Here is a 15,568-nt window from a genome sequence, read left to right as displayed (position 1 = left end):
CATCACCCTGGTACCAAAACCTGGCAGAGACACAACAAAAATGAAAATTTCAGGCCAATATCCCTGAGGAACATCAATGAGAAAATCTTCAATAAAATACTGGCAAACCGAATCCAGCAGCACATCAAAAAGCTTATCCATCACGATCAAGTCAGCTTCATCCCTGGGATGCAAGGCTTGTTCAACATATGCAAATCAATAAACGTAATCCATCACATAAACAGAACCAATGGCAAAAACCACGTGATTATCTCAGCAGATCCAGAAAAGACCTTTGACAAAATTCAACACCTCTTCATGCTAAAAACTCTCAATAAACCAGTTATTGATGGAACGTATCTCAAAATAATAAGAACTATTTATGACAAACCCACAGCCAATATCATACTGAATGGGCAAAAATTGGAAGACTTCTCTTGAAAACCAACACAAGACAAGGCTGCCCTTTCTTACCAGGCCTATTCAACATAGTATTGGAAGTTCTGGCCAGGGCAATCAGGCAAGAGAAAGCAATAAAGGTATTCAAATAGGAAGAGAGGACATCAAATTGTCTCTGCTTTCAGATGACATGATAGTATATTTAGAAAACCCCATCCTCTTAGCCCAAAACTTTCTTAACCTGATAAGCAACTTTGGCAAAGTCTCAGGATACAAAATCAATTTGCAAAATTCACAAGAATTGCTATACATCAATAACAGACAAACTGAGAGCCAAATCATGAGTGAAATCTCATTCACAATTGCTACAAAGAGAATAAAATACCTACAAATACTACTTACAAAGGATGTGAAGGACCTCTTCAAAGAGAAATACAAACCATTGCTCAAGGAAGTAAGAGAGGACACAAACAAATGGAGAAACATTTAATGCTCATTGATAGGAAGAATCAATATTGTGAAAATGGCAATACTACGCAAAGTAATTTATAGATTAAATGCTATCCCCATCTAGCTACCAATGACTTTCTTCACAGAATTGGAAAAAAAACTAATTTAAATTTCATATGGAACCAAAAAAAGAGCCCGCATAGCCAAGACAATCCTAAGCAAAAAGAACAAAGCTGGAGGCATCACGCTACCTGACTTCAAACTATACTACAAGGCTACAGTAACCAAAACAGCATAATACTGGTACCAAAAGAGATATATACACCAATGGAACAGAACAGAGACCTCAGAAATAATGCCACACATCTACAACCATCTGATCTTTGACAAACCTGACAAAAACAAGCAATGGGGAAAGGATTCCCTATTTAATAAATGATGTTGGGAAAACTGGCTACCTATATGCCAAAAAAAAAAACAATGGCAACTGGGCCTCTTTCTTAGACTTTATACAAAAGTTAACTCAAGATGCATTAAAGACTTAAATGTAAGACCTAAAACCATAAAAATCCTAGAAGAAAACCTAGGCAATACCATTCAGGACATAGGCATGGCCAAAGACTTCATGACTAAAACATCACAAGCAATGTCAACAAAAGGCAAAATTAACAAATGAGATCTAATTAAACTAAAGAGCTCTGCACAGCAAAAGAAACTAACATCAGAGTGAACAGGCAACCTACAGAATTGGAGAAAATTTTTGCAATCTATTTATCTGACAAAGAGCTAATATGCAGAATCTACAAATAACTTCAACAAATTTACAAGAAAAAAACAACCCCATCAAAAAGTGGGTGAAGGATATGAACAGACACTTCTCGAAAGAGGACATTTATGCAGCCAACAAACATGAAAAAAAGCTCATCATCACTGGTCATTAGACAAATGCAACTCAAAACCACAATGAGATACCATGTCACACCAGTCAGAATGGCTATCATTAAAAAGTCAAGAAACAACAGATACTGGAGAGGATGTGGAGAAATAGGAATGCTTTTATGCTGTCAGTGGGAGTGTAAATTAGTTCAACCATTGTGGGAGAAAGTATGGTGATTCCTCAAGGATTTAGAACCAGAAATACTATTTGACCTAGCAATCCCATTACTGGGTATATACCCAAAGGATTATGTATAATTCTATTATGAAGACACAAGCACACATATGTTTATTGAGGCACTATTCACAATAGCAAATACTTGTAACCAACCCAAATGCCCATCAATGAGAGACTGGATAAAGAAAATGTGGCACATATACACCATGGAATACTATGCAGCCATAAAAAAGGATGAGTTCATGTCCTTTGCAGGGACATGGATGAAGCTGGAAACCATCCTTCTCAACAAACTATCACAAGAACACACAAACGAACACCACATATTATCACTCATAAGTGGGAGTTAAATAATGAGAACACAGGGAGGGGATCTTCTCACACCATGGCCTGTCAGGGGGTGGGGGGCTAGGGGAGGGAAAGCATTAGGAGAAATATCTAATGTAGATGATGGGTTGATGGGTGCAGCAAACTACCATGGCACGTGTATACTTATGTAACAAACCTGCACATTCTGTAGATGTACCCCAGAACGTAAAGTATATACTTAAAAAAAGTTTACTTTTAGGTAGCCAATTAAAGATCTGTTCTAACAAAATCTGTGTATTATGACAATTTGATCGAAATTAAAATAAGTTCTATGGCAAATGTAAATGATAGCCATGTGTCATATCAAAAAATAAGAAATGATTTGATCTCATTAATCAAAATTATCAAGAATAACTCATGTATATAATGAAGGTTCTGATTTTCCTTTTGATTTACTAATTGTTAAGGAGTAATAAACTACACTATTATTAGTTTTAAAAATTTACTACATTTAATGCTTTATATTTCAATTTATTTAACTTCATATTTATATACTAAATTTAGAAGGGTATTGATGAGTTCACAATTTTATTGTAAGTCCCTACATAACGACTAATATTCATCACTAGTAGCCCATAAAATGCTAAATACATATATAAGGTAAAATACTTCATAATTATAGGATATTTAAATTTAGATTAGGAAAATTTCTCAGAAAGTAATTAGTTGCTGGTAAATTGTAGTGTCTTGTTATATACTCAATATTTTAAAATTCTACAAATTCTAAGCTGAACTTCTAAGGTATAATATAATTTTCTTCATGTGTAGGAAAAAAATTTACAACAATAAGATAACAGAAACAGAAAGCTATTTGAAAAGAAATTGAAATAAAATAATACTGATTATTGAATGCATTTTTGTAGAAATTAGATGGAATGTGAGGAAAAAGAGTAAAAAACATGAGAGCTATTAATGTCAGCAGAACATAGTACACATATATCACTGTTAATGCAAGATATGAATTTATTAATCTTTGTCAAGTAAAAATGGTGAATTTCAAAAAATAGGAGATTAAAATATTTAATATTTCATTAAATCAACCATACTATCTATCATTTCTAGCTACTTAGCAACATAATTTAATAATAAACATCTGGGTAATCTTGTTGAAAATAATATATCATATAAAAATAAAAATTTCGAAAATGTTTGTAAGTAAAGAATTTTCAAAGATTTACTAATATGAATCCTTTCAAATGGAGAAAATGCTGCTAAATTATCATTACTGTATCTTACCTCAAAGGTTTATTTGGATTATGGAAATAAAATCGAAAAAAGAATTGGTGCATACCTGTATCATATGCTTAAAAGCAATGAATAAAGTGAAATGCTCATTAATAATAGTAATGAATATTCAGAAGCAAAGTTTGTCCTGAAAAATTTTACTTTATTTATAGTACTGAATCTAAATAAACTTCCTTTGATTTTTGGTGAGACTATGCCATGGACCCAGAGGATTGACCAAGAACCTTTATAAACACCAGTGAGAATTTATTACTTTGGTGAAATCACAGCAATATTTTCTAAATTTTTTTTTTCATATTTGTGCAAATATCAATACTAAATGATGTTAAATACTCACAGGGATAAAATTCAAAAATAATTTACATTATTACATAAAATGAATTAATGTTTAGGCAATAAAAACTTAGCATCACAAGATTGTGTAAGTACAGTGCTCAATATAAGCCATGCAGAATTATAAACAAATATTGTTAAATCTGTGTATTTCCATTACAAATATATTTCTATTGCAAAATATTATTTGAAATATTTTTTAGAAGTTAAAAATTGGGCCAGACACGGTGGCTCACACCTGTAATCCCAGCACTTTGGGAGGCCGAGGCGGGCGGATCACGAGGTCAGGAGATCGAGACCATCTTGGCTAACATGGTGAAACCCTGTCTCTACTAAAAACAGAAAAAATTAGCCGGGCGTGGTGGTGGGTGGCTGTAGTCCCAGCTACTCGAGAGGCTGAGGCAGGAGAATGGCATGAACCCGGGAGGTGGAGCTTGCAGTGAGCCGAGATAGCGCCACTGCACTCCAGCCTGGGCAACAGAGCGAGACTCTGTTTCAAAAAAAAAAAAAAAAAAAAAAAAGAGAGAGAGAGAGAAGTTAAAAAAATGAAGAAGAATATACATATTTTAATTGCCCACTTACAGAAAGTGAGCCTGGGCTAAAGAATTTAGATAATACTCTTTTACAAATGTGCAACAAAATTAGGGTGGGAAGAAAATAAGTGTCTCTTCACAAATCTTAGGACAAAAATTTAATAATTTTTTCATTATCTTACCTTGTTAGGTAACAATGCACAAAAACTGTCTCAAACACTATTGATTCTGTATAACAGTTTCCAAATAATATTTGGTAAAATTTTAGAGTGAATTGCAAAAATATGTATTGATTTATTAATTTTTCTTGCTTTTGTTTAATTTTTCTTAAAAATCCCATATCTGGAATTATTTATTCATTAAACATAATTTTGGAAACATTATTGAATTCATAGTGGGGAAGTTGACTTTATTTTATTATTTTAAAAATCTCAGTTAAATATGCAACATGCACACTCTTTTGCATAACTTCTTGATATTGATGCCAAGTTCTCCACATATGAAGTGTTAAGATTGACAAAGACAATTTATTTTAACTATGAATATCATCATCAACTTGTCTGTAATCAAAAATTAAGTTTCAAAATCTATTTTATTTGCTATCGTATGCAAATATATTATAGATTTAATGAAAGAATTTTATCAGTATTGTTGATTACATATTTAAATGAAAACTTACAATAATTATGTATTTCTCCAACCAAGTAAAATTGTAAAACTGAAATGAACTGCTGGATATTTACTATTGGTCATATATTAATGTATTACAAACTAAAGAAATTACTCTTTGATATAATATTATCATATATATTAATGAATACATATTTATTTGAATACTTTGTGCATTTCAGAATGTATTTAAATTTGCCAGTATTGGTCTATGTGGAAAACATTGATTCTAATAATTAAAATTTATCAAAAACTCATAAAGTTTTAATGTCACAAAAAATCTTTAGAATCTAGTGATAGTTTCTATAGAAATAAAGATATTGAGTAGCACTGAAAATTTCATGCTAAATATTTTCAAGAACAGAAAATATACAATTATTGATAAAAATATATCTCCTAGTGGCTTTGAATTCTTAATAAAGTTGATTAAATTTGATTTTTTAGTGTTCAATTTTTTCTTATAACTTATATGGCGTAAATTTGCATTTGACATACATTTTATTCAGCAATAATATTTCATTTAGAATCACTTTAACCAAGAAAATATGCTTTTCTTGTTCTAATTCATGTAAAAGTTCTGTATAGGCCTGAGAAGCCCTTAGCTCCTGCTTTGACCAGCTGTACAACCTTACCATGGGTGGCATGATTTAAATTTCACTGTGCTTGCGTGGCATTTTTTTTCTTTTTTTTTGAGATGGAGCCTCGCTCTGTTGCCCAGGCTGGAGTGCTATCTTGGTTCACTACAACCTCCACCTCTCGGGTTCAAGTGATTCTCCTGGCTAAGCCTGGTGAGTTGCTGAGATTACAGGTGCGTGCCACCACGCTCGGCTAATTTTTGTATTTTTAGTAGAGACAGGGTTTCACCATGTTGGTCAGGCTGGTCTCGAACTCCTGACCTCATGATACGCCCGCCTTGGCCTCCCAAAGTGCTGGGATTAGAGGCGTGAGCCACCGCGCCTGGCCGCTTCTGTGGCTTTACAGGCAAAATGTGAAAAAGAATGTAACTTTGCTTACAGAGGTGTTGCAGGAACTAGGTGCATTATTACATGAAAAGGAGATTGAAAAACACCTGAAAAATAGTGTACCATTAATGTCAACAATATTCTATTATCTCTATCTGCCCTCAATAAAACAATGTGGGCATAATACTTGAGATTGTTTTAGCATGAATGTATCCTTAGAAATGCTCTTATTCATGAGGATATCCCAAATAATTTCCAGGGTACTGAAAACATTCCCTCTTCTCACCATGGTTCCTAACTTATTAACAGACACTTCATAAAATTGCAATAAATACTACGTTACAATTGGAGATTTTCCTTTATAATATTATTCGTTAAAAAAATAAAATTTTGTAGTAACTTTCTATGGGAAGAAATTGTGTCTGATATAAGCATTCTGAAATGTTCTCTTCTTAATGATCTATACTGTGCATTTTGTGTTTTTTATTTGCAGTATTATTTGTGGAAATAAGTAAAGGACAAAAAACTGTGAAGATAATGCTGTATACATTCATTCATGTTAGAAACCTTAAATATTTAATTTATCATTTTGAGAAAAAATTTATAGTGCAAATGACATAATCAGCTGCCAACACATAATAGAATTTGTCTAAAAACTAATAATTTATATCCTAATATTGTGATTTTTATGTTTGTCTTAGGAATTGTCTCTATCATTTTAATATTTTAAGCTTTTGCAGAAGTATTTCAAGGATGTCTGAAAATACATGACTAAAGAGTGCGATGTAGGAAAATAGCAGCAGTGGAGACTATTCTGGAATGAATAATTCAGAAAAGATGTAGATTTCCAACATGGGCAAAAATAGAGAGATTTTATTATGTCAAGCCTTATTGCAACTACTTTTGAAGGGACACATATCAAATGTAAATTGTGAAAGTATTGCAGACTATTAACAAGTTAATATTTAAACCCATCGATTAGTATGTGTCAAGTCCCTTCTATTTGTAACACCATGCTGATGGATAGAGAGGATGCCATCACATTCTGTACCACCGTATAATAATTTAAAAACACATTGGCAAACTTAAGGCAAATTTAATGTTAGTAGATGTCAAGACATCTATCTTATTCCAGAAATTGCTGTGACATATGAAGATATATAGAAGTAATTTGTTCTAATTTATTCAGGAAAATTATTTGATGACATTTTGTAGCATGATGACAACTGGAGAGAAGAAAGCCACTGGTTTTAAAATCAATGAATCCGCCAGCAGCTTGGTGGGATGGAACATTAAAATAAACATACATTACATTAATTGAAATTGATGTAAGAAAGACATACAACACATTGTTGGTTGTTGCTCTTATTCCTGACTTACTGTACCTGGCAAGTGACCATGTTCTTCAGCAGGCAGGTTGCCTTGAAAGTCTCAAAAGCTCATCATTTTAGCTTCATTGCTGTTATTCATAGTAGGCTCACCTCTCTCACCAAGCGATTTGTTCAGGCAGGAATATATTACAACTCTGTTCATTAAGACTGAGTGAAAGGCTACTGGATGCTTCTTATACCTTTTATCTTACTTTTGAAGAGAGAGGCACATAGCCCAGTGATATTCCTTTTTTGCCACTCTGCCATTTTATGAGGCAGGAGGCCTGGGATCATCATGAAACACCTAGAACTAGGATATTTGTGACAAGCTATGTATCAGTCAATCTCTAAAGTGTCTGACCTTTGATTTATATGAAATAATATAGCTCCTTATTATTTTATCTAATTTAGTTGTCTTTCTCTTAAGATAAAAATAATAAATCAAATGTTAAATAATGGTCTCAGGATGCTCTTCAGTAAGCAACATTTTTTCTTGAATATTGCTCTGAATTCAAATAAACACTTTAGTTAATAATAAGGTATCTGTGTTGTTTCATTAGTTATGGAAAATGTACCATACTTACACTGTTATGAATATAAGACATTCATAACAGTGGAAACTGAGTGTGAGGTACATGGAAACTCTCTTTACTACTTTTGGTTATTTTTCTTTTTTTTTTTCAGTAAATCAAATATTTTTCTAAAACAAGTTTATTAAAAATAGCTATATTTTTTGAAAACATCAAACAGCATACTCTTTTTTTTTTTTTTTTTTGAGACCAGAGTCTCGGTCTGTCACCTAGGCTAGAGTGCAGTGGCACAATCTCGGCTCACTGCAATCTCCGCCTCCCGGGTTCAAGTGATTCTCCTGGCTCAGCCTCCTGAGTAACTGGGATTACAGGCATGTGCCACCACTTCAGCTAATTTTTGTGCTTTTGGTAGAGACTGGGTTTCACCATGTTGGCCAGGCTGGTCTCGAACTCCTGACCCCAAGTGATCCACCCCCCTCAGCCTCCCAAAATACAGGTGTGAGCAACCACACCCGGCCCCAAAAGCATACTCTTATAGGGATATGTGGTATGTGAAGTTATGAAATAGGCTTTCACAAGCTTGGATAGCAGGGTGCACTGACATGACCAATGATTCAGTCTAAGGTTCTGGATTTGAATTCTATCTACCCATTCTGAACTTTGCCACTTGTCTTTGAAAGTGGTCTTTCTTTTGTTGCTCTATATAGACTAGTAACACATGATCTGTTTTATTTTTCTGAAATGTTTATTCTTACGTGGCAAACACTTTGTTTACCTAAATCAAAGTCTAATATTGCAGTCTCATAACAAAGTCCAAATGTGCTAGGACCTATGTTTGGTGTTGGAAAATCAATTAACTTATTTGAATTTCCTATATATAATGTTTTAAATAAATGTGCTAATGGCTGGGTGCCTTAATATTATTTCAGTTTATGCTTTACTTATCAGCTTATTTTTTAAAATAACAGCCTAAAATAGATAAAGCAAATGTCCAAAATGTTATGTTAATGAAGTTACATTAAGTAAGGCAACCAGATATTTTTTGAGAGTCAGCTCATACAGACCACTTTCAGTTTTCTTTACGTATTTTTCTAATTTCAGTGTGGGTTAATTGTTCCCCTGTGTGCAAATGCAGCCCAACCTATTGTAATATTTAATTCACTATAGTTGTTCTTTTCTTACCTCTACCTCTCTCACAAGAGAGTATATATCATGTTTAAAAATACTGACTGAACATAAAAATATATTTTAAAAGAATATTATTAATCAGAGAAAAGGGCTAATCTTACCAAATTAGTCTACCTATTAAAGATGATGATTTTATTACAATTTTAGTTGAAAAATTTAGCCAATGTGTCTTGGAGCTTATGAAAGATATGTGGATGACTGATCAGAGTGTGGCATAAAGACAGATGACCGTAAAGAAAGCCAATGAAAACAGAAGAAAAAAAAGATAGAAGAAAAGATAAATTAATGCAGTAGAAAGTAGGGGAAAAACAGAAAAATTAGCCAAGTTTAGTAAAAAGTATGTATTTTTCAAAGAAGCTAATAACAGAGCCTGCCTAGCAGAAAAACACTGGAAGCATTCAGCCAGATATTTGAGTTTATAGTTTACGCTCAGTTTATGCATAGAAGCTGAGCTCTTGTTTTCAGTATTTCAGAGCTTGATCAACAATAAAGAAGTTTATAAGTTATAAACTTCATTCAGCAAAGAATATGCATTGATTATATGCTTGTATAAGTAAGATATATGTAAAGGTTAATAGATTAAATTTATAGTTTAATCAGCAAATTATGTAAATGAGCACAAATAAAATACACCCTACAACTTATGATCATTAAAACATGCAATTCCATTAGCTATGAGTAGGTACATTTAAGCGAGTTAAATATGCATTTAAATCAGCAAAATTGAACAACAACAGGAAAGTATAAAACTTCAGATGTGGAGCCTGGACTTTATATTGAACATTCAAAATGTGTCAGATTGGCTTTTGATTATGGAGGAACTGCCCTTTTCAAACCAGCCCTCCTTTGGATAACTGTAAACTGGGAAAAATTTTAAAGAGAAAGCACAAGAAAACAAAAACCACTTGAAACCACTGAAAACCAACATAGGTAAAAACACTTGGCACTTTTCCTGTTTGTTTGTTCGTTTGTTTTTATGTCTTTATACCTGAGAAGTGCCTGTTGACACCACGAACAGCTAAAACTTAGGAAGAAATCAAGAGTCCTACTGGTTTGCAGAACCAGAACATATAATTCTGGCTTCCCAAAGCCGCTAGAGAATAAAAGAAGAAATACCTTAAAGAATAGAGCCAATCAAGGGAAGTCCAAATTCTGTGTTTAAACTGAGTATAAACGATAAACCCAAATATGTGGCTGAATCTGAAACATCCTGCATGTGGGATAGGTTCCCAGAAGATTTTTTTTTAGCTGGCTAAGAGTAGAATAACTGAATGGAAATTTTAGCTGATGACAACTGAAAAGATAATTACAGAGTTTGGAGTTTGAATTCAGACTGCTATCTCTATTTTCTCATTCTTATTTGGTCCATATTTCTAGTTCCTTTAACTTATACAATAATTCTACACAACAAAAAAGTTTACTTTTGTATATGTTTAGTATTTGTATATCGGTATATATTTTTATCCCTATTTTGGAAGGAATATGAAATAACCATTTCTGAATAACATGAGAAAGTCTATGAATGAAAAAAATGTTAACAGGTTAACTTGTCAGGTGGCAGACGGTGAATAAATATTGTTTAAAAATTTTGTGTCTAGAAATACACATCTAGTGATGTCTAGGTTAACCTTGTATTAAATAGTTGTTTATGTAGAAACATAAGCCGTGTTCTAACAAAAATAAACCAAAATGTTGAGAAAATATAAAACAACTGAAAATTTGTAAGATTATGCCCAAATCAGTAACTATAAATAAGCACAACATACTTATTTTTGTTTTCCACATCTTTATTTACCCATAAGATATGTAAATTTCAATGAGATTCTCAGTCACTGACAATCTGACAAAGTCGTATATCTCAACCTGCAAAAAAAGTTATCCACATAAAACAAAATTGTCTAAAAGTTGGTCCTTACCGACACTGCCTGTAATAAAAGTTACAAACTGGTAAATTTTTCTATACATACTTATTAAACATGAGTCACAGATTTTCCCTTTATATTGTTTTATATTTTATTTTTACATATGTAAAAATGATATAAATATATGCTTCTGTTACTTTTTGTTATACTCATTCTCAAGCAATAATATATTTTCTTTAAAGAAAAATACTGTATTTGAAATCAATCACATTAGAATAGTAGGTTTTATTTCATCCATATAATGATTCTCAAGTGGAGGCAATTTTGTTTAAAGACTTATTTGCTTGTCAAATCTAGTTGTAGGGTGCGACTGGCATCTAATAACAGAGATACCACTAAACATCATACAATGTAGGTCTTCCACCTAGAAATAATTACTTGATCCACAATGTCAATAAGTGCCTATTCATAGAGTTGAGAAACTCTAGAATGCACTAAAACTAAGTCACAGTATTTTGCTTCTTAAAGCTTTTTAAAATTTGGGAAATAACATATTTTATTGATTCAGTCACCACCGGTTCCTCTAAAGACAAATTGCTTTAGTTTAACTTTTCATACACTTAACAAGTGACCTAAATTGGATTAAATTCATTTTCCTTCTCTATAAAATGGGATAGTAGAGCAGAACCTATATAATAGTTTGAGGTAAGGACATTCTGCATAAAATGGGTTGCAATATTGATTATGGTGAAATTGCCATGAATCCTAAACTTTTGTTGTACTTGGAATCTACATGGACAAACCTATGGGCCAGAGTCTTTTCATAAAAATTTTTTGACAACGGTCTTCGGGATTACTTTCTTCAAATAAATCTTTCTTGCCATGATCTAATTAAATATGCTTCAAACTCCTAGCCATTTGAAATATGCAATTATTACAGTTTCAGGTTGGGATATATGGATATAGAACTCACTTACCAAGCTGCAGGGATCCTGGTAGCTGTTCAAATATAGATTGAAAGTTGCCTTAGGCTACAAATGCCAAGCAATGGCAGTTTCCTATCAACTTCCTGCATGTAACTCTGAGTACTGTCTCTTTAATAAGATGTTATGAAATGGCAACAAAACAGTAACAGGAGATCTAAATGAAAGTACTGACAATGGCTTGTCAAGAACAGTTGGGCCTTAAAGAAAGAAAGACAGAAGTACTTTGGGCAACTCTGGAAGCAATGAGACAGATAGAAGGCACATTGGGACTTATTATGCCTTAAAAAAATCATATTGAAGAGTAGTTTTTGTAGGCAATTTGTTGGTAAAGTTATCTAGTTGACCAATAGATATCAATAAAGATTTAAAACAAATATAATTAAACATTCAACTAGGGTTCAATTGGTTTACTAAAAAGTATTTTTAAATGGAAGTTCAGAGTAACAAGCGAAATGTGAAACTGGAAATATTGTTCTTCTAATAAGATTTTTTGTTATTTTTGACAAGTGTTCTGTACACTGTACTTGACATTGCATATAAATCAAAATCAATATTGAAATCAATATTAAAATTTGTGTCTTATAGCCTTATAACAATTCATGGACCTCACAGCTTTATTGATGTAGAGCCAGAATGTTGTTTGATACACTATTGATATTCACTATTGGATTCATTATTAATAACAGATTTTAAACATTTTTAAACCTTAGCCACATGCTGTGTATGTACATGCTATGTATGTACATTACCCCTTTATTCTTGGTATTTTTAGCATTTGTTGATCAGGTTTTAAATCTAAGCTGTTCTATTTCTTTAACCTGAGACATTAAAGAAATCACTGTAAATGACTTACTTTTAGCAAGTTAGTCATAGATTTGATTTTCTCACCTGATCTGTATTTTAACTCACATGATTTTAATCATTGAATTAAATTAATTGAAAAACTTTTCAATATAAAATGTATATAACTATTAGTCACAATACTACTGCAGATAATATTGCCATTGTCCTCACTACAACCAGTAATACTGAATTCTCAATTTTGGGCAGGCACATTATTTAGTGCCTCATAAATGATAAAGACAACAAGTTCTTACAGGAAAAAGCAATCGACGTACATACAATTGTCTTTCATTAAAGATAAAATAATTAAATTTATTCAGTTTAAGTAAATTGTCCAAGATTACAAAACAGGTTTTACAGAGTTAGGATTCTAAATGCAATCTTCCTTTCTCAATGCCATAATCTAACCATAAAGTACAACAATATATGTGTAAATTTTTACATCAAATACTTTCTTAAATATCTATGGATTATGTAAATCAGTAATTTTACCTCCTAACTGCAATATTCAAGTACAACAGTGGGGTAATCATTATTGTTATTTGCCAAATATTCCAGGTTTTTCTCCTTCTCTACACATAGAAAAATTTTGCCTCCTAGCCTCTGTGTGGTTAAGTGGGGTCAGGAGGTTACACACAAGTAGTTGTAAACATAACCATAGTATATTACTTCCAGAGCAGAGTATTCAATGGCCATTGCAAGACCCCTGCAACTTTCTTTTCTTGTAGACAAGAAACTACTGTTTAAGGTAGTAGTTTTTCTATCAGTCTGCATTTTATGTCTCCAACTAAGCAGAAGCCTATGATAATTCTCATGGGGACATTTAGCATGAATTAATAAAAATTCTTTGTTATTTTAGGATGCTAACATTTTTGAATTGTTGTTTATTCATAACCTCTCCTGATGATTACAAACACATGATATTTACATAGTACCACACTGTGCAACATTCGAAAGTACTGGTTGTAATTCCACTAGTTTCTCTCACATGCAAAAACACAAAACTAAATCAATGTGAGGATTAGGAACATTGCATTAGAAAACCTAAAACATAATCTAATTTTAAATATATATCTCTCTCAAAATTATTCTTTTGTAAGAATACCAACTCTTTGTGAGAAGCTTCAAAACTAATTAGGATAAACCAAAATTTTGCAGCTGAGAAAAGTTTCCATGTAAAATAGTATTTTTGCTTTCTTTTTCAACAGCTTTTATATGAAGGTACCACATAAATATGATGTCATTATGAAGAACCAAGCAAAATATTAAAATTCAAAACAAAAAATAAAGTTTCTCATTCATTCCCTTTCCATTCACCTTCTTCTTTTCAGTCCTTTTCCTGTGAATTTTAATGCATGTATTTTTACAGATATCCATAATTATCTTTCTTTATACAAATGCTATCATTTTACAAGTGCTTCTATTTCTCAAAATATGCCTGATAATTATTCCATGTTATTATTTATAGTTATCAATCATTCTGTTGAACATCGTTATAGTAGTCCATAGTTTGGATGTACCATATTTTATTTAACTACTGTCATATTGATGAAATTAAGGGGTTTTTATATTTAACAATATAAACAAAGCAACACAGGATTGCACATCCTCTAAATATATAGTTGTGTAATTTAGCTGAGGATTTTACCTAATGAGTCCTGTGAGTTTTCAGGTTTTCTTCTGTTTTTCTTTATCCTCTGCAAAATTCTTATGTAACATAGAATTTATAACTCAGTTGCTTGCAGATTTGCCATATCCCCTTAGATTCTCTGGACCCTTCTGATATTTTTTAAAAAACTAGGATGATTATGTTCAATTTATTTTATGGTTATTGAATTACTTACATTTTTTTCCAGTTGAGGCAAATTTGGCAACATTTTTTTCCCTAGTAAATTGTCCATATGTTAAAATTCTTAAAATTGTTGGCACAAAGTTGCGCATCCTATACAAATCCTATACAAATGTATTTAATTTTCACTCTATATGAAAGTATATGCTCTTTATTATTCCCACTTCTCACTTTCTTTTCTGTCTATTTTTAACTATTTAAAAATTTTAAGTATAGTTTGTGGACAAAATCTTAGAGTTTTATTGATGCTGTTCAACTAGTTTTGTTTGAAGTTTTTTTTTTTGTTAATTTTTGACCTTTGAACTGTGGCTGGATGCTTTTAACTGAGAGTGTTAAATACTTTCTGACATCTATGTCTTTATAAAAGTTCTTCATACATAAATAAAAACTTGACTTTTCAATAAATATCTTTAAATCACAATTGTTTGACTTCAAAATTCTATAGATACCACCACATTAACTTATTGTGTTTAATTTATCAGAGAAAGTTACTTGATCTGGTATCATTTTTAACCCTGGGTAAGGCACTTAATTTTTCTCTCCAGAAATTACATTTAATTTTATTTCTTCATTTACAGCGATATGATACTTATTTAATTATCTGTACCTAAAAGAGTCAGTTCTTTTAATTTTCAAAATCAGGATTGATTTTTTAGCCCAAGTTCAATTTAATAGATTTTGATTTAGATTATTTCTTTGGCTTCAATGTTCTAATTTTAAACCATGAAAGGGTCTTGTTTTTCTGGTTTGAATACACATTTAAAATTGTTCATGTATTTATAACCCATTTTAATCACTTTTTTATGTAGTTTTTTTTATTTCTTTCCTGTCTGGGAGGGCAACTGAAGTTGAACTATCATAGTAATTATTTGATTTTCTCTTTTGCT

This window comes from Homo sapiens, chromosome 13 (genome assembly GCF_000001405.40).
Source record: "Homo sapiens chromosome 13, GRCh38.p14 Primary Assembly".
NCBI classification, from domain to species: Eukaryota; Metazoa; Chordata; class Mammalia; order Primates; family Hominidae; genus Homo; species Homo sapiens.
Note: the sequence above shows the minus strand (reverse complement) of the source record.